This window comes from Homo sapiens, chromosome 3, assembly GCF_000001405.40.
Source record: "Homo sapiens chromosome 3, GRCh38.p14 Primary Assembly".
NCBI lineage: Eukaryota > Metazoa > Chordata > Mammalia > Primates > Hominidae > Homo > Homo sapiens.
The window spans coordinates 111808316-111834651 of record NC_000003.12 but is presented as its reverse complement, the minus strand read 5'-3'; the positions used below and the strand labels follow the sequence as shown (position 1 = coordinate 111834651).

Sequence of the window (26336 nt, the reverse complement as noted above, 5' to 3'; positions counted from 1 at the left end):
CTAAAAATTTGTCTTATAAAGAAATGAGGGCAAGAGTACTTAAAGTTATATGTCAGAGATATTTACTGCATCCTTGTTTGTGATAACACAGTGTTGAGAAACTATAATACCATCAGTAAGGTCATGGTTAAGTAGACTACTATATGTTCATACAATCAAATGATATGAAAATGAGGTAAATCTAGATAAACTGACCTGAATGATAAGTTGTAAGTGAAAAGAGCAAGTTGTAAAGCTATATGTGTGTATATATATACACACATATATATAAAAATCAGATGACTATATATATAGTCATCTGATATATATATTATATATAATGCCATTATATATATAATAGAATTATATATATTATGTATATAATAGAATTATATATATTATGTATATAATAGAATTATATATATAATTCTATTATATACATAATATATATATAATTCTATTACATATATAATTCTATTACATATATAATATATATAATTCTATTACATATATAATATATATAATTCTATTACATATAATATATATATAATTCTATTACATATATAATATATATAATTCTATTACATATATAGTATATATAATTCTATTACATATATTATATATAATTCTATTACATATATTATATATATAATTCTATTACATATATTATATATAATTCTATTACATATATTATATATATAATTCCATTACATATATTATATATATAATTCCATTACATATATTATATATATAATTCTATTACATATATTATATATATAATTCTATTACATATATTATATATAATTCTATTACATATATTATATATATAATTCTATTATATATATTATATATATAATTCTATTATATATATTATATATATAATTCTATTATATATATTATATATATAATTCTATTATATATTATATATATAATTCTATTATATATATTATATATATAATTCTATTATATATATTATATATATAATTCTATTATATATATTATATATATAATTCTATTATATATATTATATATATAATTCTATTATATATATTATATATATAATTCTATTATATATATTATATGTATAATTCTATTATATATATTATATGTATAATTCTATTATATATATTATATGTATAATTCTATTATATATATTATATGTATAATTCTATTATATATATTATATGTATAATTCTATTATATATATTATATGTATAATTCTATTATATATATTATATGTATAATTCTATTATATATATTATATGTATAATTCTATTATATATATTATATGTATAATTCTATTATATATATTATATGTATAATTCTATTATATATATTATATGTATAATTCTATTATATATATTATATGTATAATTCTATTATATATATTATATGTATAATTCTATTATATATATTATATGTATAATTCTATTATATATATTATATGTATAATTCTATTATATATATTATATGTATAATTCTATTATATATATTATATGTATAATTCTATTATATATATTATATGTATAATTCTATTATATATATTATATGTATAATTCTATTATATATATTATATGTATAATTCTATTATATATATTATATGTATAATTCTATTATATATATTATATGTATAATTCTATTATATATATTATATGTATAATTCTATTATATATATTATATGTATAATTCTATTATATATATTATATGTATAATTCTATTATATATATTATATGTATAATTCTATTATATATATTATATGTATAATTCTATTATATATATTATATGTATAATTCTATTATATATTATATGTATAATTCTATTATATATATTATATGTATAATTCTATTATATATATTATATGTATAATTCTATTATATATATTATATGTATAATTCTATTATATATATTATATGTATAATTCTATTATATATATTATATGTATAATTCTATTATATATATTATATGTATAATTCTATTATATATATTATATGTATAATTCTATTATATATATTATATGTATAATGGCATTATTTACATTTTTAAGTTGATATGTATCTATATATATAGAGATAATATATAATATTACATATATAATGGCATTATATATATATAATGCCATATGATTTTTGTTAACAGCGGGAAAAAGCCTAAGTGTCGGAAAATAACAACACTAAGATTAATGCTGTTTTCCTCTGGGGAATGGGGATGGAAGGATGTGGGAATGGAGTGGTCTTACAAGATTTACTTTGATTAATTGGTACAATTTATCTTTTTGTTTTTTTGTTTTTTGTTTTTTTAAAAAATAAGAACATATTATATTTGCAAATTTCATACCATTAAAGCAAACAATGCCATTAACAGAAGCAGTAAAGTTGAAAAGATTGTTGGATTCAGGGGAAAGAAACTGATTAGATATAGATTAACTTGTAAAAAGAAAAAGAGATGTAGATTAACTTGTATTTGGTATGAAGTGGTGCTGTACCAAAGGGTTGGATTGTGGTTAGAGTTGTGGTAGTTGCTGGCAGCAGTCAAGGGTGTATCTGGGCAGGCTTTCCAGGTTGTGGTTCTTGTAGGGCTCAGAGAAGATGTGGTTGATATGAATAGAGCTTGCAGCTAAGACTGGAGGGTCAAAGGCAAAACTCATGAGCCAGTGTCATGGGAAGCAGCACCACAGATCATTTTTACTGCTGCTGGGTCCTAGGATTGGAGGGAGTAACTCTCTCTGACACAGCCTTGTTCACCCTAAAGGCCAGCTTAGGACATCTGTCTGACTGACCAATAATTTACCCTGGATTCAACATAATAGGAGAGGCAGAAGGTACTACAACATCCTACTTGTGAAACTAATCTTTATTAATTTGCCTATTCCCACCTTAAACTTATTTACATTTTTAAGTTGGTATGTATCTATATCTGCACTGCATTCGTATCTATATCACCCATACCTATAACTATAATCTATATTATCTATCTGTTTAGATAGATACAGATAGATATCCCTGTCTGCCTCTTCTCATGTGAAATTAGCAGGTATTCAAACTTGGTCTTGAACAATACTATGTATTGAGACATATTAAATATAGGGTAAGCACATTATAAAAATGGATCCCACATGGGGTATTATAGTGGTATGTTGTAGAGCCAGTGTTTTATTATAGAATTACTGATTGCTTCTCCAGATGGGTTTAAATTGATGACTGTAAGAAAATTTTTGCAAACTCCCCCCTACTGTCCCTACAAATGTGCTCATGGGAAGACCCACTTTCTCTTCATTACTTTAAAATGCTTTGGGCAAAGAAACACTTGGATGTTTTTATTAAATAAACATTATCTTCAAAGCCCAATGATGAATTTTTTTAATACGTGAAAGTCTCTTTCGAAATCCTTTTCAATATTTAATGCATATTGTATAAGTATAAATAATACATTTGAGATTTTAAAAAATGCATATGCAAAGTGATTTGCAGAAGTCCCTAAAATATTTATGATTCTACTATCTACAATTTTCTTTTATTTATCGTATCTCCTGTAGATTCTGATTAAGTATAGGTAGGGATTTTTAAAAAGTGTCATGGCTCATGCCTTTCTTTCTTCCTTCTTTTCTCTCTATCTCTCTCTTTTCTCTTTCTTCCTTCCTTCCTTTCTTTCTTTCTTTCTTTCTTTCTTTCTTTCTTTCTTTCTTTCTTTCTTTCTTTCTTTCTTTCTTTCTTTCTTTCTCTTTCTTTCTTTCCTTCTTTTCTTTCTTTCTAGAAAATAAAATGTGGAAATATAATGAGTCCCCTAAGATCCCACCGCCCCTCATGCTGACAATGATATGCTTAGACTCTGGGATGTGCTGCCTTTTTTTTTTTTTTTTTTTTTTTTGAGACGGAGTCTCGCTCTGTCGCCCAGGCTGGAGTGCAGTGGCGGGATCTCGGCTCACTGCAAGCTCCGCCTCCCGGGTTCACGCCATTCTCCTGCCTCAGCCTCCCAAGTAGCTGGGACTACAGGCGCCCGCCACTACGCCCGGCTAATTTTTTGTATTTTTAGTAGAGACGGGGTTTCACCGTTTTAGCCGGGATGGTCTCGATCTCCTGACCTCGTGATCCGCCCGCCTCGGCCTCCCAAAGTGCTGGGATTACAGGCGTGAGCCACCGCGCCCGGCCCTTTTTTTTTTTTTTTTTTTGCCATGTTCCTTATTCATGGTATTTCAGAACAAAAGATTTATACATACCCATGAAGCCACATATATTCTTTTTTTTAAATCACTGTTATCAAGCCATATGATATCTCATAAATTAACAGAAAAATGTCGCATGTAAGATAAAGAATTTTAGATTGCTTTAATTTTGTCAGTCTCGTTTCTTTCTAAGCAGAAATACCAGCCTCAGTTTCCCTGCTTATTAAGCAATATATGCTTCCAAGCAATTGCAAAGTGAAAATGGAAGTACCTTTAGAAATTACTTTATGCTGCCACCACTAATCTGATAGAGGCCTCGAAGTAGGAGGAAAGAGTAAAAGCTGTTTTGCTGGCAGTCAGGAACAATGCAGAGAAAGTGGAGGCCTGCTCCAAATTTTAGTAGCTTTATATGCATCATTTACTATAGTTGGTGAGTGGATAGGAGAAACAAAATTACAAATTTCTCTTTAGTGGCTTGGCTAAGAAGTTGAAATTGAGAGTAGACTCTGAATCTAAATCTTTTAGGAATTCTTGGTTTTGCTGTGTGTGTGTGTGTGTGTGTGTGTGTGTGTGTGTGTGTGTGTGTTTTGAATAGTTCTGTCAGTTTGGTGATAAGAAAATGTAAGGTGATATGAAATAAAAAAAACAAAAAAAAGTATTGTGAGTTTAGGATCTAGTGAAAAACTGTGGGTGGTCTTCTAGAACCTAGTTAAATAATATACAAAATAGAATTCTTAGAAATATCAGATGTTGGTCGGGCGCGGTGGCTCATGCCTATAATCCCAGCACTTTGGGAGGCCAAGGCGGGCGGATCACCAGGTCAGGAGTTCGAGACCACCCTGACCAACATGGTGAAACCCCGTCTCTACTAAAACTACAAAAATTAGCTGGGCGTGGTGGCATGTGCCTGTAATCCCAGCTACTCAGAAGGCTGAGGAAGGAGAATCGCTTGAACCCAGGAGGCAGAGGTTGCAGTGAGCTGAGATCATACCACTGTACTCCAGCCTGGTAATAGCAAGACTCAATCTCAAAAAAAAAAAAAAACCAAAAAAAAAGAAAAAGAAAAAGAAAAAGAAATATCAGATGTTAGGACTTTTTTTTTTTTTTTAAACAAAAGAATAATGGAAGAACCAGGAATCCAGGATGGGAGAGTTGAGTGAGCATGATACCTTCCTTTAGGGAGGAGAAACAATCCATTGGCTAGTTTGAGTTGTTTTTCAGTCATAGTGATGGATTTGAACAATCCATCCAACTCTTTCACCCAGTTCTTCTCTTTAGTAATTGCATGCCTTTGCGAGATGGGGCAATGTGGGAGAGATGTGGGAAGATAAATGGCCCTTCAGAGGTTTCCATGACTTTTTAGAATTTTAGTGTGTTGGCTCTAATTAATGCTGTCAATAGGAGAAGGGAAATGTCTAAAACTCTGGGTGAACAGTCACTTAGCTACTCAGAAAAACATTTGGAAATTAGAAAAAACATTGTCAACATTTATATGTGTTCCTTTTGATCTAACAAGCGTCTATATTCCCTTTCCTCTAAGAGAAAAGATCCAGTAGGTTTGGCTGGTTGGCTAATACCAGAGGACCACTGTGATGTCTTCATATTTATACTACACAGTGTGTGGCATTTGGCAGGGACTCAATAGATGTTTTCTAGGTTTCATTAAATTGACTGAGTCAAGTGGAAGGTATAATCTTTTTTGTTTGTTTGTTTGTTTGTTCATTTTGTTTTTGAGACAGATCTCACTCTGTCGCCCAGGCTGGAGTGCTGTGGCGCAATCTTGGCTAGTCACTGCATCCTCTGCCTCCAGGCTCAAATGATTCTTCCACATTCACCTCCTGAGCAACTGGAACTACCAGTGCACACCACCACACCCGGCTAATTTTTGTAGAGACAGGGTCTCCCTGTGTTGTCAGTCTGGTCTCGAACTCCTGGGCTCAAACGATCCGCCAGCCTCAACCTCCCAAAGTGCTGGGATTACAGGCGTGAACCACTGTGCCTGGCCACAGTCTTTTAAAAGCCAAAACTATTTAAAAATATTCATAAAATGTTTATTAAGTATGTCATTCAATATGTGTTCATAGATTACCTGAGCAGGGGAAATTAGATAGGGGAAATCAAAAGATGATCCATTGACAGATAGACTGGAAGTTCCCTGTCACTGGTAGGAAGCATTACCAGCATCTAAATCAATCAGTGCACAGGAGGATATTGGGGCTGGGGCAGGGCAACTTCAGCTGCCTCTGTGTTTACAAAGCAGTTGGACTTCAGTTGCTATAACTCTCTTGGCCTTTCTCTCCCAGTTGGTTCACTCTGCCCCAGAAGAGAAGGGGAAACTCTTCCATGGGAGCATTTGGGAAATACACTGGTTCTGTGTAGTTGAGAGCTAGCTGACCTCAGGAGCTACAGTGGCTGAGCTCCTTTGTGGTCTGGTTTACAGAGGCAGGCCCCTATGGGGAGGTGCACTGTGAATAGCTGTTAGTCTACCTAATTTTGGAATGCAGTTTTAGGAAGTCCTCTGTTGCACTGCACGTAAGCTATACCCTCCTTTGTCAGCTTTATAGTAATGAAGGTGACATTTTTATCTCCTTCTGCCAGACTTCCATGTCTATCTTTTCATTGTTTTCATTTGGAAATATGTACTGAGCCCTTAGACTGTGCCAAGCACTCTAGTAAGCCCTGAGACTCTACCTACAGAAGCTCACAGTGTAGCATATTTATAATGCAGTTGAACAAGTGGGTGAGCATGAAGCTTCCCAGGAAGAAACAGTCTGAACCGAGTTGCTCAGTTTTTGGTCTTTCCTTTTTTTTTTTTTTTTTTTTTTTTTGAGACGGATTCTCGTCTCGCTCTGTCGCTCAGGCCGGCGTGCAATGGCACAATCTCCAATCTCGGCTCACTGCAAGCTCCGCCTCCCGGGTTGACGCCATTCTCCGCCTCAGCCTCCCGAGTAGCTGGGACTACAGGCGCCTGCCACAACACCCGGCTAATTTTTTGTATTTTTAGTAGAGATGGGGTTTCACCGTGTTAGCTAGGATGGTATCTATCTCCTGACCTCGTGATCCGCCCACCTGGGCCTCCCAAAGTGCTGGGATTACAGGCGTGAGCTACCGCGCCCGGCCTGGTCTTTCCTTAACCGAGTCATAACAGAGTGGGATTTGGCCAGAAGGTAGTCGGGTGTGGTAAGAGCTTAGGCTGCAGAGGCAGTAGGAGCTCAGTTCTGAAAGGCTCTCCTTAAAAGCCATACTAAGGGCCCTGGATTTTGCCTGGTAGGCAACAGACAGCTGGTTAAAAGGTTAGAGGAAGGATGTGGTCACATTTCTGTCTTAAATAAGTCAGTTTGATAGGTTGGAGGATCAATTTGAACAGGACAAGCCTAAAGAGACTAGTTTGCAGGTTGTTCTAGGTGAGAAATTATAAGGAAGTGACTTAGTAGCACCTCTGTTTTTTGTTTGTTTTTCCTTTCCTTTTTTCTCTTGGACATTGTGACATGAGCTAATGCACAAAAAGCATTTGCGTTTAACTGCAGTTCATAGCAAGAACTCAATAAATGTCGGCCATCATCATTTTCTTTTTCTAAATCATCACGTCATTTCCATCATCATCATCAGCAGAGGCAGTAATTTCTCCCTTACTACTCATCCTAAATAATGAGCAGCCTCCTAGAGGCAGGCTGCTCCCAGAAGAAGAGAGCCATAGAACCTTCTCTCAGACGGCTCTGGTTCAGCTGATCAAACCACTCCCTGCACCCACTCCCACGCCACCACCACATGACTACACCTCCCCTGGCAGAATTGCCAAAGATCCTGCATTCCTACCCTGGCCGTGGAGCAAAACTGCGGCATTACTGTTGGGTATTAAGGATTTCCTCTTTGTTTTACTGTTATCATGCTTTCATCTAGCCAGAACTCTACTTACCTGATAGAAAATGTAGGGTTCAATTCTTTGTTTAGCTGCCAAGATTCTTCAGTGCTTTGGCAAGGAAAGGAAATCTGGCACAAGTGTTTAGGATTGCCCACGTACCTAAGAAAACTACACTTTCTAGATGTAAAGAGTATGTGGGTGGTCTTCTCACCAATGTGCCAGCTTTATCCCCTTGAATAATTGGAAATCCCCCAGCAAATACCCTATTGAAGCAATTTTACTTGATTGGTATATTTTCAAGGTCTTATTTAAAATTATATTTGAATTAAATTTTTTTTTTCTTGAGACAAAGCCTTGCTCTGTTGCCCAGGCTGGAGTGCAGTGGCATGCTCTTGGCTCACTGCAACCTCCATCTCTCAGATTCAAGCAATTCTCCTGCCTCAGCCTCCCTAGTAGCTGAGAATACAAACACGTGCCACCATGCCTAGCTAATTCTTTTTATTTTTATTTTTAGTAGAGATGGGGTTTCACCATGTTGGCCAGGTGGGTCTCGAACTCCTGACCTCAGGTGATCCTCCCACTTCAGCCTCTCAAAGTGCTGGCATTACAAGCATGAGCCACCATGCTCGGCCTAATAATAATATTAATAATAATAAATGTAATAAGGAAAAATGACAAAAATAAAATAATCCAAATTTTATTACAGAAAACTTTCTTAAATGAAACTTAAATTACACTTCTTAAAATAACCACAGAACAACCAATTGATTTTATTTCAACCTTATTTTTCTTTTCTAGCTCTCTTATAAAGGTTTGTGAGCCAAAAATTAAGAAGATTCAAATTAAAAAAACCTTCATAAAGATGCAGCACTTAAAGGGTTATTTAAAAGAGGAAGTGTGGGCAGGCATGGTGAGGTGGCTCACCCCGGCAATCCCAGCACTTTGGGAGGCCAAGGTGGGCAGATCACTTGAGTCCAGGAGTTTGAAACCAGTCTGGCCAACATGGCAGAATCTTGTCTCTACTAAAAATACAAAATTTAGCCAGACATGGTGGTGCACGCCTGTAATCCCAGCTACTCAGGAGGCTGAGGCACGAGAACAGCTTGAACCCATCAGGCAGAGGCTCCCATGAGCCGAGATGGTGCTACTGCACCCCAGCCTGGGTAACAGAGGGAGATTACGTCACACAAAAGAGGAAATGTGATTTGTATGTTCCTTCAATGTAGAATGGCTATTTTTTTTACTCTACTGTAAGCATGGTCAATATGATTTTCCTACATCTGTCTTCAAGAAGATGAGAATCTTTTGAAACTAATAGCTTACAGTCTCCCCAAGGACCTCTCTTTTTGATAGTGTAATAATCTTCATATATCACCAAAGTAGAATTGTACTGGCAAAGTTAAGAATCTGGATCCAGCTTGTCAAAGTCACAACCTTTTGTATGTTTGCTCAATTGTCCTACAGTGATTTGTACTTGTGACAATTACCTAGATTATGGAAATTTGTAGGTTTGAGCAAATCTTTTTCTTCTCAGTATTTTTGTCTTCTTACCTGTAAATGGTGAGCATGCTAAAAGCACAAAAATTTCTTCTCAGGGGTTTACCATGAAATAGTCTTCCTTTAAATGTAGAGATTAAATTTTAAGTTATTTACGTGAGCAGATGAGGCCATTAAGAGATAATATAGAAAGGTAAAGGGTCTACAAGTGGATATATAAGGAACAATTTTTCCACATTTTTCAAGAACACTCAGGCAGAGTGAATTATTCATGCACCTATAACTAAAAAAGGCAATTATCAGTTGCTTTTCCACAGAGTACATACTTTAAAATGTCCAACGAAGTTTGCGTCTGTTAGAATACTTTCAGCCACAAGTTTGTCAAATTAGCTTAAGCCATGTTGAAAACCATCGACTCGTGTAACTATACATCATAGATTCACTGGGCTTCAGGTTCATGGACTCAGATGCTTTTCAGCTCTAGGTTCTGCTGAACACAGGCTTCATTCTGAGGACAGTTTCCCACAGCTGCCAGCTGCAATCAGGGCTACATGCTTTTACTTCCACTTCTGGTGTAGGAAAGACTTGCTTCCTGAAAGGTCCCTCAAGCATAAGGAAACGTTTCCTCTGGAGACCTTTAGTTGATTTGGGTCACACGTTCACTCCAGAACCAACAGTGGGAAAAGTTATTAGATAACTCTTTGGCTAGTCAGGCTATTGAGGTTGTGGGCTGAGTCAGAAAGAAGTAGATACCTGGCCAGAAAGGGGTGGATATCTTCCATTCTGTTGGAAAGGAAGAAAGGAAAATGGATGCTTTAGGCCACCATTAACAGCCACTCCAGAGTTCCTGGGAGGAGTAGGCCTATGCAGTAAGGAAGAAAACCACTGTGAAATTCATACGGAGTAAGATTTGGCAGTCGAAGCTACCAAATGAGGCAGATAAAAAACCTGTTTATAGGGAGAAGACAGAGAGAAAAGAACCGACCAGCAAGTGGGTTGGAAGATCAGAGGGTATGGCTAAGAATTTTATTGCTTTTCAAAGCAAGGAGAGAGGATGGTTTCAAGTTATCTGCAGACAGAGAAGTAATAGAGCAATAATCCTGTGACTGACTGCCCTGCTCTTAAGCACATTTTGTGTCAGAACTTCTTGCTCACTCTTAATAGAGGAAAGGAGGCTCTGAAACTTTTTATGAGTAATCCCAGATGAAACTAAGTTACCTAAAGAGACAGATACGACTAGTGGATTAAACTAGGTCTGTACCCCCTCCACCATCTCCTCACACATACACACATACTGCAGTGCTATGCAGGCAAGGGGGCTGGTGAGGAACGTCAGGCCAGTCACAGGGAAAACAAGACATATTTTCTTTATAGCTCTCAGTGGTATGTGAACCCAGCATACATTTCTTCATTATATAATGACCAAGTTATTTGAAAGATCAAAAAAAGTTAACACATACTGATCGTGATTGTACAATTGTCTGTCATTTAAGTTTGCTGTGAATTTATCTATATGTAGATGTGAATAGATAAGACTTTGCTAGGTTTGTGAAAGTCTGGTAAACTATTTGGTCAGTGTAGAAACCTAAGGGCTAGTGAGAGGAATGTCATGCAGATTCCACTCCGTTGACCCACTGACTATTCTAAGAGGACTCTTGAGATCAGTGATTAGGGGCATTGTTTTCCTTAAAAACTTGTCATCTACAAATATGAATCTACAATTCAGTGATAAATACCTTCCTTCAAGCACTACGATATGGTGCAACTTTTTTGAAACTTCTAAGTTGAATTCATTGAAATGGGGTATTATCTGGAAGTCTCTGAAAATAACAGAATAAGTATTTTCTCAGGCATGCTAGCTTGGGGTATATGCAAATTATTGAACACCTATTCCACATCCCAGCTCTCATTAGGGGGAACTGTTGAAATTGCAGCTCCATTAAGTCAAGAACTTTGGCTCAAAATGGAGGAGATGATCAAGGTATTTCCCAACTCCCACTTCCTCCTGGTCCCTTAGGCCTCCTGGCTTGCAACCACTTGGAAGCTGTCCTGGTTGAGTACTCCAGCATCACCTTGGTGGTACTATGTGCTGCTAATGGCACTGCTGCTGCTCCTTTGACCATGTGATACAGACATCATCACTGAAGCTCCTTCCAGGAAAGCATGTTGCCTAGTGCCTCCAATGCCCTTCCTTTGTCCCCATGCTATTGCTGCATAAATCTGTTACTTAACCAGACATGTTATAATTATGTGCATATTTTTTTTTCCGAGGGCTAAACAGAGAGTTCTTCCAAGACAAGGACTTTCATGATTTATAGAGCTGTATTAATTATATAGTATGTGATCAGTAAATAAAGGAAAGAAAAGTTCTGGTGGCTTTTGGTATTGGTCCCAAGCAGGGAATTTGGACCAAGGAGGTAAGATTGGAATAAGAGAAGAGCTCACGTTGTTAGCTTAATTTCCTTTGACGTCAGGCTTTATCTTCTGCAACTTGCCAATGTTTACCAGAGCTCATAGGAAAGGTGCTGTATCTGATTTTGATTTTAGACATTGAATTTTCACTGTAATACAGAAAATTCCCATCCTTTAAGATGGGGCAAGCAAATACTAGAAATGTGTGGTGGTCTAAAGACTGCTCAAGGAGATTTTCAATTCTGACAGTTGAGGCTACTTTATATGTTCACTGAAAGTTCCTGACTTTCCTTGACATTTTTGGAATTGAGAGGAGTCTAAGAGGTATCTCTTCTACACCTGCCTTTCATTTTCACAAGGAAAACAGTTGTTCGAATATTGGCAGAACAAGTTGTTTTCAGTGTACCATTATATATATATATATACACACACACACACACACACACATACATAAAGATAGAGAGACAGAGAGAAAGAAACATTTTTTTTTTCTGATGCAAAGTATGAAGGAAATAGAGGAGAGCAACATGTGAGAAACTAATACCTAAATATACTACCTCAGGTTCTGGCATCAAAAAGTGGACTGGAAAGGTAATCAGTATAATTATATATAACCTGGCCTGCTTTTATTTATGGGGCTTGACATATCACCCAAATTTGCCAAATATAGGGTTTCCTGAAAACTGAAATTCAAACTCTTCCTGTAGAAATGTGGTCATGCCTAGTAAAGCTGCTACCCCACAGAGGTTATATATCTTTTCAATACTAAACATTTTTGCCTGCCAGCAGCCTGGAATGAAAATAAAGCCTGAAGTTTCAGACCATTAGACCATTAGAGCCTGCTGGGCCTCCCCTAGGTTACTGGTATTTTCCTGGGTAGGTAGTAAGAGGAACATGTTCAAATAGAACTTTACAAAATGTAATAGCACGTGGCAAACAACGTCTTATTTTTAGTAGCATCACCTGCTGTTGTGTTCAAGAACAAATTAGCTGTCATGGAGCTGGTGATGGTTAATTTTGTGTGTCACCTTGACTACATCATGGTACCCAGATATTTGGTCAAATGCTAGTCTAATGTGGCTGTGAAGGTATTTTTTTAAGATTAATATTTAAATGAGCAACCTTTAAATAAAGCAGTTTACCTCCATATTGTGGATGGGCCTCATCCCATCAGTTGGAGGCCTTAAGAGAAAAAAGACTAATTTCCCTTCAAAAAGAAAAAATTCTATCAGCATACTACCTTTGGCCTCGAGCTACAGCATCAAACCTTCCCTGGTCTCCAGACTGCTGACCTACCCTCCAGATTTTGAATTTGCTAGTCTCCATAATCATGTGAGTCAATTCCTTAAAATAAATCTCTCTCTGTCTGTCTCTCCCACTTCTGTCTCTCATCCATTGGTTGTGTTTCTCTGGGGAACCTTGACTAATACAGACGCATCACATATTCTCCACAGCATGGATTTAGGCTCTCTGGCGCAGTGTCTTGGGTCTTAGAAGAACAATGAGCCTGGTCTGACCAGAAAAGACATTCAAAATCTATCATGGCAGTGGGACATATATTTCTTTGGGTTTCATCTTGGGACAGTTGCTGAAAGCAGGCCCGATTCAGCTAAGACTTACACTGGATACTCAGAATCACTGGGGACCCTGACATGGAACCCACATAAGACCTAAAAGGAGACTTTTCCTGAAGTCTCCAGGAGAGGAGAACTTCAGGGGCTCTTGGAACTAAACCTCGGTTCTGGAATTGCACTCTCCCAACTAGCACATTTTGGCTGCTGAAGTCTGAAGGCAAAATCTTGCTTGACTCTGGAATTTGTTCTAGTGATATGCTGCTATTTTAATTCTGAAGTGTGTTAATATCCTGACAACTCCTGGTGTTGATAAACTATAGTACTGTCCTTATACTTGGGCAACGGGATATGTGCCATAGTTCTCACATTTATAGAGCCTCATTCCGGCCATGCCCCTCTGGCCCTATCTTCTTTGCTTTACTCCTCTTCTTCCTCCTCCTTCTTGACCACAAACTGGAGAATCCAGGTCTGGAAATTCCATGCCCAACTTCCTTGTTCAGGGCCTGTGAAGATCTGCTCTCTCAAAGGTACATACATTTAGATCTGAGAGGTGGCCATGGGGCCACTGGTTGTAAGTTATGTGGATTGAACTTATAGTTGTGGGCTAGTGTGAGACACAACACATATGAGACACAGTAAATATAGTGTAGAATGGATCACAAAAGAGATTGAAAAGAGAGGACTTTCAGTCTGAGCCAGGACTAGCTTTCCTTGCATCACTATAGTGTTTCCACTATAGTATATAGTTCCACTAGAGTAGAATGCCAAGGGGTCTGAGAATTCTAAACTTCAATTTTGTTTTCCAAGAGGTTATCAAGGTATTTTTTAAAATCAATTTTGGAAGAAAAAAACATTTCTTTAACCATTTTAACTTCGTTTTTAACTTTGAACTATTTCGACTCAGAGTATGCAGACATTCATTTGTACTCTAGACCATCTCTGTCAATCATTACAACAGTGGAGGAATTTGTGACTCAAATAAAGGTTTAGATTAGCTGACCACCAAGTCCCCTGCCAATGCTGTGATTCTACATGTGGTAGTTAGGGGCGGAAGAATATGGTCAGACCCTCTCTAGAGAGCTCAAGAAAAACAAAGAGGAACAACCTCAAGCCACTAGGGCAAGGATGGTTTGACCTTAATCCAAGTTTCCTTTTGGTTAGACTTCCTATGTGAACACTACTTTTCTTCAAAGCTTCATTACCACGAAAGCCTGCAAGACATTTCATACCATGCCAGATGCGGTTACTAAATGAGGACTTGTCAACCTTGTTTGGTTTCAAACTCAGTAATTTATTTGATAAATGTGGATGCATCTTGACAATTAAACTCTCAGATTCCATTGGTATTTGTTTGTCTTTGGGGTAAACAGATAAAAGAAAATTAGAATAAGTCATTGTATATTCTAAAGGACAAATAAGCAAGGTATCTTCTGAAGGACAAACGACACTGGGGTTGAGATAATAGTGGGTTTGTTTTCTGAGAGGAAGCATAGTATATCCATAGAGAATGTACTCATGATATTTCTAGGACACCCACTTTGGTTTTTTGGGCATTTTATCCAGCTTCTCAAAATTCTCTGTTGTACAAATTCTCTCAAAAAGAAAAGAAGAATGCCTAGAACTTGAAATGAAGCTCTCCTGTACTCATTGTCCCCCAGGTGGGAAGTAATCAGTGTAGTCAGATATCTCTGGCTTTGCCATGAATTAAAGATGCAGAAAGGTCTTCTATTTCAGATGATTAGACTTGAAAAAGACTAAGTGGCATTGAATTCAGATGGGTTATCTACCTTGGCTTTTTATGGATTCCCTTGACAAAATATTGGTTACAATTCTACATGTTTGAAGTCTCGAAGATTTGTCGTTGTAAACTAGGATGGTGCTATGGACTGAATTTTGCCCCACAGCCACCCCCCACCCCATTTATACGTGGAAGCCCTAACCCCCAGTCAGAGATGGGCATTTGGGAGATAAGTAGGTTTAAATGAAGCCACAATGGTAGACCTCATGATGAAAAGAGTGCCCTCATAAGAATAGACACCTGAGAACTTGCACACACATTCTCTCTGAATATGAGAACACAGTGAGAAGGCAGCCATCTACAAGCCAGGAAGAGTGTCCTTACCAGATCCTGACCATGCTGGCATTCTAATCTCGGATTTCTAGGCTCCAAAACTGTGAGAAAATGCATTTCTGTTGTTTAAGCCACCCAATTGATGACATTTTGTTTTGGCAGCCTAAATTGACTAGGACAGGTGGACATGAAATTTGGAAGGTGCATTGGAAGGGAAAAGTAACAAAACTCATGGAATGAAACCAACCTTGAGGAGAGGAGGCATCTAGTATAGTGACCAAGGTTCAAGGGGTTCAGTGATTATTATGGCCCAGCATGGAGCCAATGGCAGAATTTTTTTAGAATTCAGCAGATCTGGACTGGTGTCAGCCTTGTGGAAAATGGCATAAGAGAGCTGAAATTTTAAAGCCCTATTTTTGTCTTTCACTCTGGTGCTAGTAAGGCTCTAGCTAGCAAGGCCATGACTGCAAAGAGCTTTTAGAATTTGTAAGACCCATCTTCAGCTGTGACAGTGTATGGCATTGTGGAAATATGGCACTAGTCATCCAATCAGACTCTTAACTTAGAGAGTGGAAGCAGGACTAGCCTACTGGGAAAAAAGTCAGTTCCTAGAGTTCTTGAACAATACAGTTAAGTAGAAGATTTGAGACTTTGTACCAAAGGCAGAAACTGGGCTTAGTACTAATAGCCCATGTTAGGGAAGAGGGTCAAGTAAGTAACAAAAATGTGACCAATTTTGTGAACATATTTGTGCTGAGTTTAGATAGGTTGTACCATTTATTAAATACATGGCTTCTAAGAGGATTCCACTTCCTTCATCTCAAACAAGGTCTATCATCTCTCCATTTCCAAGGCCACTACATTTCTCTTTGATACTTTACTAAATAGTAACACATGCAGACACACACACACACACACACACACACACACACCAGTTTTTTAAAAAATTTCTTTTTAAGCAAGACTGGCTTCTCAAAACCTATCCCTATGAGTCAGCTTACATTTAATAGAAACTATAACCTTATATCAAAGGCCTTTTTTCACAAGAGATCAATCTCAGAGATGAACATTAGTGAACAAAAATGAGAAAAGCATAAACGAATAAAATAAGGCACCATAGCTCATCAAAGAACAAATAAAGGCCAAATGAGCTACAAATGTTAGCTTGTCTTGTACTTATTAATTTCAATAATATATTAATATTACCAGCCTATCTTCTCCCACAAGAGACATATTGCCAGTAAAGTAAACAAAACTCACTTTCATTTCTGCTCAGTCTGATTTGATGCTTATAACTCAGTCAGCTAAACTGTGGTATTATTAGTGTGTTTACAGAATCTGAGAAGTCATGGTCTCCAGCACTCTAGATATTCTGAGCCTATTTTCATACGCTGGGCTATGTCTACCTGGGGAACCACGGTCCTAAGTACAATTGGCTATGAGATAAGAGTTTGGAAAGGTCTAACAAAATGCTAGAAAATATGGGAAAATAATTTTGGTTAAGGGATACAAGTTGTTCTTGTGCCTTAATTTGAAAAGTAAAGAATAAAAAGATGGTAGTGTAAAGGATTTAAAGGTGACATCCTCAGAAAGTGACCTTTCTAATGATTTTCTTCTATTACTAAGAAATGATAAAGACCAGCACTGTGCCAATCCTATTCTTTCTCCTTTATACCTTTAAGTCAGCTGGTATGGATCCTCATTCACGTCTTATATGCAAGAAACATTAAATAAACTTCTCTTCTTGTGCATAAAGCAACATAAGATGTTGCTGTGGTTTGGATACTGTTTGTTTATTCCCACCAAAGCTCATGTTGAAATTTGATCCCCAGAGTTGCAGTATTGGGAGGTGGGGCATAGTGAGAGGTGTTTGGCTAGTGGGTGGATCCCTCATGAATAGCTCGGTGCTGTTCTTCTGGTAATCGCTTGTATTAGTCCGTTTTCACATTGCTGATAAAGACATGCCTGAGACTGGGTAATTTACAAAAGAAATAGGTTTATTGGACTTACAGTTCCACATGGCTGGGGAGGCCTCACAATCATGGTGGAAGGTGAAAGACAAGGAGGAGCATGTCATGTCTTGCATGGATGGTGTCAGGCAAAAAGAGAGCTTGTGCAGGGAAACTCCCACTTTTGAAACTATTAGATCTTGTGAGACTCATTCATTATCATGAGAACACTGCAGGAAAGACTCACCCCCATAATTCAATCACCTCCCACTGGGTTGTTCCCACAACATGTGGAAATTGTGGGAGTTACAATTCAAGATGAGATTTTGGTGGGGACACAGCCAAGTCATATCATTCCACTGTTGGCCCCTCTCAAATCTCATGTCCTCACATTTCAAAACCAATCATGCATTCCCAACAGTCCCCCAAAGTCTTAACTCATTTCAGCATTAACTCAAAAGTTCACAGTCCGACATCTAATCTGAGACAAGGCAAGTCCCTTCTGCCTATGAGCCTGTAAATTCAAAAGCAAGTTAATTACTTCCTAGATATAATGGGGAGTACAGGCATCAGGTAAATACAGCCATTCCAAATGGGAGAAATTTGCCAAAACAAAGGGCTCCAGGCCCCATGCAAGACCAAAATCCAGTGGGGCAGTCAAATCTTAAAGCTCCAAAATAATCTCCTTTCACTCTATGTCTTACATCCAGGTCACGCTGATGCAAGAGGTAGGTTCCCATAGTCTTGGGAAGCTCTGCCCCTATGGCTTTGCAGGGTACAGCCTCCCTCCCAGCTCCCTTTACGGGCTGTCATTGAGTGTCTGTGGCTTTTCCAGGTGAACAGTTCAAGCTGTCAGTGGATCTACCATTCTGGGGTCTGCAGGATGGTAGCCCTCTTCTCACAGCTCCACTAGGCAGTGCCTCAGTAGGGACTCTGTGTAGGGGCTCTGACCCCAAATTTCCCTTCTGCACTGCCCTAGTGGAGGTTCTCCATGAGGGCCCCACCCTGGCAGCAAACTTCTGCATGGGCATCCAAGTGTTTTCATACATCTTCTGAAATCTAGGGGGAAGTTCTAAAGCCTCAATTCTTGATTTCTGTTCACTCGCAGGCTCAACACCATGTGGAAGCTGCTAAGGCTTGGGGCTTACACCCTCTGAAGCCATGGCCCAAGCTCTATGTTGGCTCCTTTCAGGCACATATGGAGCAGCTGGGCACCAAGTCCCTAGGCTGCATACAGCATGGGACCCTGGGCCCAACCCACAAAACTGCTTTTTCCTCCTAGGCCTCCAGGAAGCTGTTGTAAAGACCTCGACATGCCCTGGAGACATTGTCCCCATTGTCTTGGGGATTATTTGACTCCTCATTAATTATGTACATTTCTGCAGCCAGCTTGAATTTCTCCTCAGCAAATGGGATTTTCTTTTCTATAGTGTTGTCAGGCTGCAAATTTTCTGAACTTTTATGCTCTGCTTCCCTTATAAAACTGAATGCCTCTAACAGCACCCAAGTCACCCCTTGAATGCTTTGCTGCTTAGAAATTTCTTCGGCCAGATACCCTAAATAATCTCTCTCAAGTTGAAAGTTCCACAAATCTCTAGGGAAGGTGCAAAATGTCACCAGCCTCTTTGCTAAAACAAAGCAAGAATCATCTTTGCTCTAGTTTCCAACAAATTCCTCATCTTCATCTGAGACCACCTCAGCCTGGACTTTATTATCCATATCATTATCAGCACTTTGTCAAAGTCATTCAGTAAGTCTCTAGGGAGTTCCAAACTTTCCCACATTTTCCTGTCTTATTCTGAGCCCTCCAAACTGTTCCACTTCTGCCTGTTACCCAATTCCAAACTCACTTCCATATTTCTGGGTATCTTCTCAGCAGTGCCCCACTCTACTGGTACCAATATACTGTATTAGTCCATTTTCATGCTGCTGACAAAGACATACCTGAGACTGGGCAATTTACCAAAGAAAGTGGTTTATTGGACTTACAGTTCCACATGGATGGGGAGGCCTCACAATCATGGTGGAAGGTGAAAGGCAAGGAGGAGCACGTCATATCTTACATGGATGGCAGCAGGCAAAGAGAGAGCTTGTGCATAGAAACTCCCATTTTTAAAACCACCAGCTCTCGTGAGACTCATTCACTATCACAAGAACAGCGCAGGAAACACCCGCACCCATAATTCAATCACCTCCCACCAGGTTCCTCCCACACTACGTGGGAACTGTGGAAGTTATAATTCAAGATGAGATTTGGGTGGGGACACAGCCAAACCATATTATCACTTTTGTAAGACTGGACTAGTTCTCTCAAAAATGGATTTGTTTCTGAGAGAGTGGGTTGTTATAAAGCCAGGATGTTCCTCGGGTTTCCCTCTCTTTGTGCTTGTAAGCTCCCCATTTTGCTTTCTGCCATGAGGACAGCCTGAAGCCCTCACCAGATGCAAATGCCCAGTCTCAAATTTTCCAGCCACTAGAATCATAAGCCAACCCCCACCTCTCTGCTTTTTTTTTTTTTTTAAATAAATACTTCATTTCAGGTATTCTGTTAATAACACTACATGAACCATGCAGACATCTATGTAGAAAACTTAACATCATGGGGTACAATAAGAAAATCTGTTTTCCAATCTTATTTTAAGAACTGCTCATATATAAAGGAGAGTTTATTAAGTATTAACTTACATGATCACAAAGTCTCACAATAGGCTGTCTTCAAGTTCAGGAGCAAGGAGAGCCAGTCCGAGTCCCAAAACTGAAGAACCTGGAGTCTGATGTTCAAGAGCAGCAAGCAACCAGCATGGGAGAAAGATGTAGGCTGGGAGGCTGTTAGTCTTTCTTTTTCACATTTTTTTTTCCTGCTTATATTCTAGCTGCACTGGCAGCTGATTAGATTGTGCCCACCCAGATCAAGGGTGGGTCTGCCTTCCCTAGCCTGACTCAAATGTTAATCTCTTTTGGCAACACCCTCACAGACACACCCAAGATCAGTACTTTGTATCCTTCAATCCACTCAGTATTAACTATCACAGTGGTGTATCCCACGTTTTGGAATACACTGTTTTGGACCATGTCCTTACAGCTCAGCTGCAATTGGGTATTTGAAGGAGACTTATGTTCACCTCTACCTGGCACACTGTGGGAGTTGAATTAAGATCTCCCTCTTAGCAAATATTGAGCATTTTGAACAAATGACATAGAATAAAAAGAAGCCCCTTAAGTGGATGAAGAGCACAGCAACCACATATCTTGGGTTGTTTGAAACAGGCCTTCTTTAGTGCCCCTTTTCACTCACAAAAGCATCCCCAGTTTTTTGATAAAACTATGTGTTTGCTCTAATTAAGTGGCCTAAATATCACACAATGAATTGTATGCATCCAAATACATTACTTCTTCACTCAGCTCAAGAACTGGTGGCAAAGAAGAGAAAGTCTGAACCAGATTGCAGCCTTAAATATACTTTGTAGTTTTTCCAATTGGTTTATAATTATTAGCAATTTTTGGCACTCTTCCATTTTCCTTTCCTTTTAGTCATTTTTCCACTAAGAATTCCAAAGATTTGTATAATTTTGAATGTTGTGTAACACGCTGTTTTAGACTTTCAGTTATAACATTTACTATTACATTTATTCTGATAGGAGGGAAAATTTGTCATAAAAGCCCAAAGGCTGGTAGGTTTGCTTTAGCCTTAAGCCACAAAAATTTCACCTGTCAATTATTTTACATGTTAAGGATTAACTAAAGACCAAAAGAGGGGGAAACTAAATATACTAAAAATATCCTTTCCCTTTTAAAAAAAATATCTAAGCCTCCAAAATATATTGTACATGGATTTATTTATTTATTTATTTTAATGGACAAATAAAAATGTCATATGTAGTATACAAAAGTACAATACATTGTTATTAACTATAGTAATCACATTATACAACAGCTCTCTTGAACTTGTTTCCCCAAGCTGAAACTTTGTATCCTTTTACTAACATCTGCCCAACTCCTCCTACAGTTTTTTTATACTTGAATGGGAAGTGTCCATTCAGCTGGAGTCTTTTAAGTTAAACATGCTACAAACTACCATTATGTGCTAAAGCACTCTGCTAGATTTTGATTATTGAAGCCTTGGTCTCTTCTTTAGCGGAGCTTCTAGTCTGAGAAAGGATAGCTATTAAATACCAGTCACAAAGCAATGTGATAATGCTATGGGGGAAGCATCCTGCCAATGTTTGTAATGTTTTCCCCACACTTCCTTTCTAGGACCACATGACCTCACCCCTGGATTTTGGCTGTAAAAGCTTGATTGTTATGTCTCCACTCTCTCTACCCTTTTGAAACAAGAGTTAAAAATAAACAGAAAATGTAAAAAATTAATTTGTCTGGCTCCAAGCTATATTCATTAACTTTCTCTGCAGAAAGTCAAAGGCTAGTGGTATTTGATGAAGCTCCAATCTGAGTTCTCTCAGGGAAAAAATCTTAATGAAGCTGCTTTGAACAGTTGGGATAAAACCAGGCAGCAAAGGGACTGTCCTAGGATGATCATACTAAGCAAACTCATCCTAAGCCTGGAGATGGTCTCATAGTGTAGAAGAAGCCAGCTGAAAATCTCCCAATGAGGTCATTAATTCCTCCTCATTCACTGATTCCTTCCAAAGTTGAGAAACTCCATGAAAACATTCAGTTACCTGGTCCTTCCATTGGATCATCACATAAACTTATGTTTCATTTGCTAATTCAGACATCATATGTTTATACTGTCCTCTCCATTTCCCCTTGCAGAGTACTGTTCTTACAAAGTGTTAGCTTTTGTGTTCACTGTAACTTTTCATAGAGTCACAATTCACACACAGCATTCCTGCCTTCAAGGAAACTGTCTTAAACTCCATTTGTATCAACTGAAAACAAATGGTGATCACAGAAAGATGGCCTGGATATATGGATGATGTTCTAAATGACTGGGAACATCCTAGAAAAAGAAATAGTCTGTAAAACAAAAATCTGTCTGCCTGAAATATATTAATGGCCTTGGAAATGGAATCAGAGATAAGAGACAGCAGAGAAGCCCCTTTTCTTTAATCTAAATACTGGAATTCAGGTTCTGAGATTTCACAGAGACGGGGTTGATAGCAGGGCCAGAAGAAAGAGAGCAGATGTTGATGAAGGAACATTCCAAGCAATTTTCTCTCACCTTGGGGCAATGTTTTGAACATGCACAGTTAAGGTGGAAAGCAGCTTATATAGGATGAAGGTCACAAAAATGAATATAGTTTAGACATCATGATTTCATCTCTTTCTCTCTCCTGGACTTTATCATAATGGCATCATCCAGTGTGCTTAGAGTGAGCAAAAGATGTTTGTTTTTAATAATTCTTTGGCAGATAGGTCAGGAATGTAGGCCTAATATCCTGCTTTGCTTATATGAACCTTAAAAACAGAATTATAGTATCTGAAAGACAGAAAGAGTTTAAAGATCATCATTTCATTTTTTCGTGTGTGTGTATGTGTGTGTGTAGTGAGGAATCTATTGATTACCTGTATCACAATCAATAGGGTGCCAGTAAATAATTAAGATTCCTGAATCTTGTCACAGAGCAAGTGAATCAAAATTTTTGTGGGGCCTACAGGTTAAAAACCTGCATATTATTAATAATAAATAAACTGCCTAACGATTTCTTTTGTACATTAAAGCTTGACACTCACTGGCCTAATCTACCCTTTAATTTGCCAGTGAGAAAACTGGGCCATTTCTTCACCAAGACTAATTGGTAGCAAAATATGCATAATGCAAGAGTTCTCCTGACCACAGTAGAATACATTTTTTAAAATGATTTCATGAAGAGACTTGGACTCTCCTATAGCAATGATTACTTTCTGTTTCATGCAAACACCAAGTCCTGAAAGGTTCCTTAATGGGATAAAGCTTCTAGTTTTGTAGGTACTTGGTTTTATTAGTTAAATGCTAAATGGAGTACATTTTTATAGGAGGCTTTAACTGTAAGACCAGTTACTTAAATCCTCCTGAGAAATATCCTGATGACTCAGGATGAGACATCCCCTGGTCTCTTCTTGCATCCAAAGTCCTTTTTGGCTCTGCTTACAGATTATCCTGTTTAATAGCAAAGATGTTTCCCTGAGGGGGTTCATGGAGCATGTATCTGGGCCATTTACCTAGGATGACAGCTCTTTGAAATCTCTTCTGTATCCTCTTGCAGAGCTAGTTTAGTGCAGATACAACTGTACATCCCTACACAGATCAAACACATTTCCCAAACTTACTGTCCAGTGTATTTATTTATTATATTATATACTGAGGATCTTTGTAAAATTTATTTTGGACAAAGGATTCCGTTGTCAAAAATAAGGCATTTGGAAGACATATTTTTAAAAATGTGTTGCTTTGAAGAGTAACACTGATTTCTACATTTAGGGATAGTCTGTGTGGGTTGCTATATCATTGCTATGGACGGAATAGCGTCCTTGGAAAATTTATATGTTGAAGCCCTAACCCTCAATATGACTGTATTTAAAGAGAACTTTTAGGAGGTAATTAAGGTTAAATGAGGTCATAAGAATGGGGTCCTAATCTGATAGGATTAGTGGTCTTAAAAGGAGACGACAGACAGAGCCCTCTCTTCACATACATGCACCAAGGAAAGATCATGTGAGCACACAACAAAGTGGGGGCTGTCTGCAAGCCAGGAAGAGGGCTCCCACCGGAAATTGAGCATGCTGGCACCCTGAGCTTGAACTTTCCAGCTTCCAGAATTGTGAGAAATAAACTTCTGTTGTTTAAGCCGCCCAGTCTATAGTATTTGTTATGGCAGCCTGAGGAGATTAAGATAGTCATGCAGAGTAGGCCTAGTTTCAGAAATGGACATGAAAACACACGGTAATATGGTCCCAGATAGGCCCCTTCCTGGAACACATATTTCCTATCTCAGGTGCTCTCAGGTTGTGGTTAGTGTGTATGGCCTCTGTGTGTGTCACCTTGCATTTGGCTTAATAGCCTCTAGCTTCTTTCAGATAGCTCCATGGCAGTGTTAGAGTGATGCCCTACTGGTGTTTCCTTAGGATTGTTAACCATAACATGATGCACTAACGCTCTTAAACCAGCCTGGACAACATAATGAGAGCTCATCTCCACAAAAAAGTTTTAAAAAATTACCTGGGTGCAGTGATGCATGCCTGTAGTCCCAGCTACTTGGGAGGCTGAGGAGGGAGAATTCCTAACTATAGGTTGTACAACAGAACTCTAGAACGTCTTCATCTTGCATAACTGAAATTTGTTACTCTATTATATGCTTGAGGTGTATCTAAACTCTTGAGTTTGCATACTCTTTTATTACATCATGACTATTGTCTTCAAACCTTTACAAGTGACTGGGCTGATAAACTTAATTTAAAGTGACTCTTACTTCAGGTAAGTTATTTCATTGATTCATATTTCTTCCAAACTTAGCACCACCACAAATCAGAGCTTCTTGATGATAGGTAAATCTGCCAGGCTTTGCCTTAGCAACAAAGAAAAGCAAACTTACTAAAGATATTTCAGGGTCAAAGACCTGATATACAGTGATAAGTTGGCATTAGATAAAAAGAATCCATTTTAAGAACTGAGGGAGCTAATAAGTATGTGGGTGTTTGTGGAGAAAAGAAGAGGAAATCAGGCTTGTGAGGCTGGGCAGTGGCCCACTGCTGGACTTCAGATAGACTTTTCAGATTACTGACATGCCATAGAACCACAGGCTTGGAGACAGCATTCTCATAAGGGAAGAGGTTGAGCATAAGGTCACCCAAAGGCAGAAGAAAATATTTATTTTACTATTTAGAGTTGTTTTCCTTTCTTTAAACAAACTCTCCATCAATTCCACAGCAAGAGCTTTCTTCTGGCACATCTGGTTTATGTGAATACATTAGTGAGTTTCCCAGGAAGCCGCAGCATCACACAAAGGCCCATGATCATTTCACCAGGTAATGATTAATGTCATGTTACAGTTTCACAATATCATAATTGAATAATCAATTAACTAAGGTTTTGTGAGTACTATGTGTGAAGAACAATAATTTATTTATGTGACTATTCCTCCTCGATGACAGCAGTCAGTTCCTTCTGGAAAGTATAGATTAAGCCATTGCATTTCTTGGTAAATAAATATACTAGTCAAAGACCAAGATATTATTTATGTGTATGTACTAATGACTTTAACAGAGATATAAACCCTTATTTTAGGAATTGTTTAGTACTAGTAGTAGAGTTCTAAATGGATGCTATATAAAGAATTTGCTCTTTATTATATTAGTTATGAGAATTACAACCAGTGAATCATAGTAACTGGAAAATACCTTAGGGTTATAAAAGGAAATCCATTAATTGTACAAATTAAATATTTGAAGACCAAAGAGGGCAGGAGACTTATCCAGGCCTCCTGAGTCTTTAGAGTTTTTAATTAGAGCACCAGTCCATGCAGATTGTATTTGTCTTCTTGAAGCTGTGACTCATGAGATATACATGTATTGCTTAAGAATACATGTTTACTCTTTCTGCACTACCTGAGTGACAGGATCATCCATGTCCCAGACCCCAGCACCACGCAGTATACCCATGTAACAAACCTGCATGTGTACCCTCTGAATCCAAAATAAAAGATGAAAAAAAAAAAAACCCAGAATATATGTTTAAACACCCAGCTCTGACCGAGGACTCAAAAGAAAAGTGGCAGCACAGGATGTGGAGGTGAAGGGCAACCTCCTTTTTCCGAGCAGACATAGCTAATGTCATTCATGCAAAGCCCTTATGTTTGATTGCACAAACATACAACACCATGTAGAAAAATAAGAA

The 26336-nt window shown here is 37.8% G+C and overlaps 1 protein-coding gene and 1 long non-coding RNA gene across 3 annotated transcripts in view; one reads left to right on the top strand and one right to left on the bottom strand.

Moving 5' to 3' along the window:
- PHLDB2 (pleckstrin homology like domain family B member 2) overlaps positions 1–26336 on the bottom strand; it is a 244022-nt gene that overhangs the window by 141866 nt on the left and 75820 nt on the right. The window lies entirely within an intron of this gene.
- The window catches only part of LOC105374040 (uncharacterized), a 61639-nt gene that overhangs the window by 26165 nt on the left and 9138 nt on the right, over positions 1–26336 (top strand). The window contains exon 3 of one of the 2 annotated variants that reach the window (XR_924333.4): positions 25371–25468. This is a non-coding gene — a long non-coding RNA (uncharacterized LOC105374040). Of the gene's footprint in view, positions 1–25370; positions 25897–26336 lie in introns of those variants that run through there. The other variant, XR_001740850.3, reaches the window with a different exon arrangement.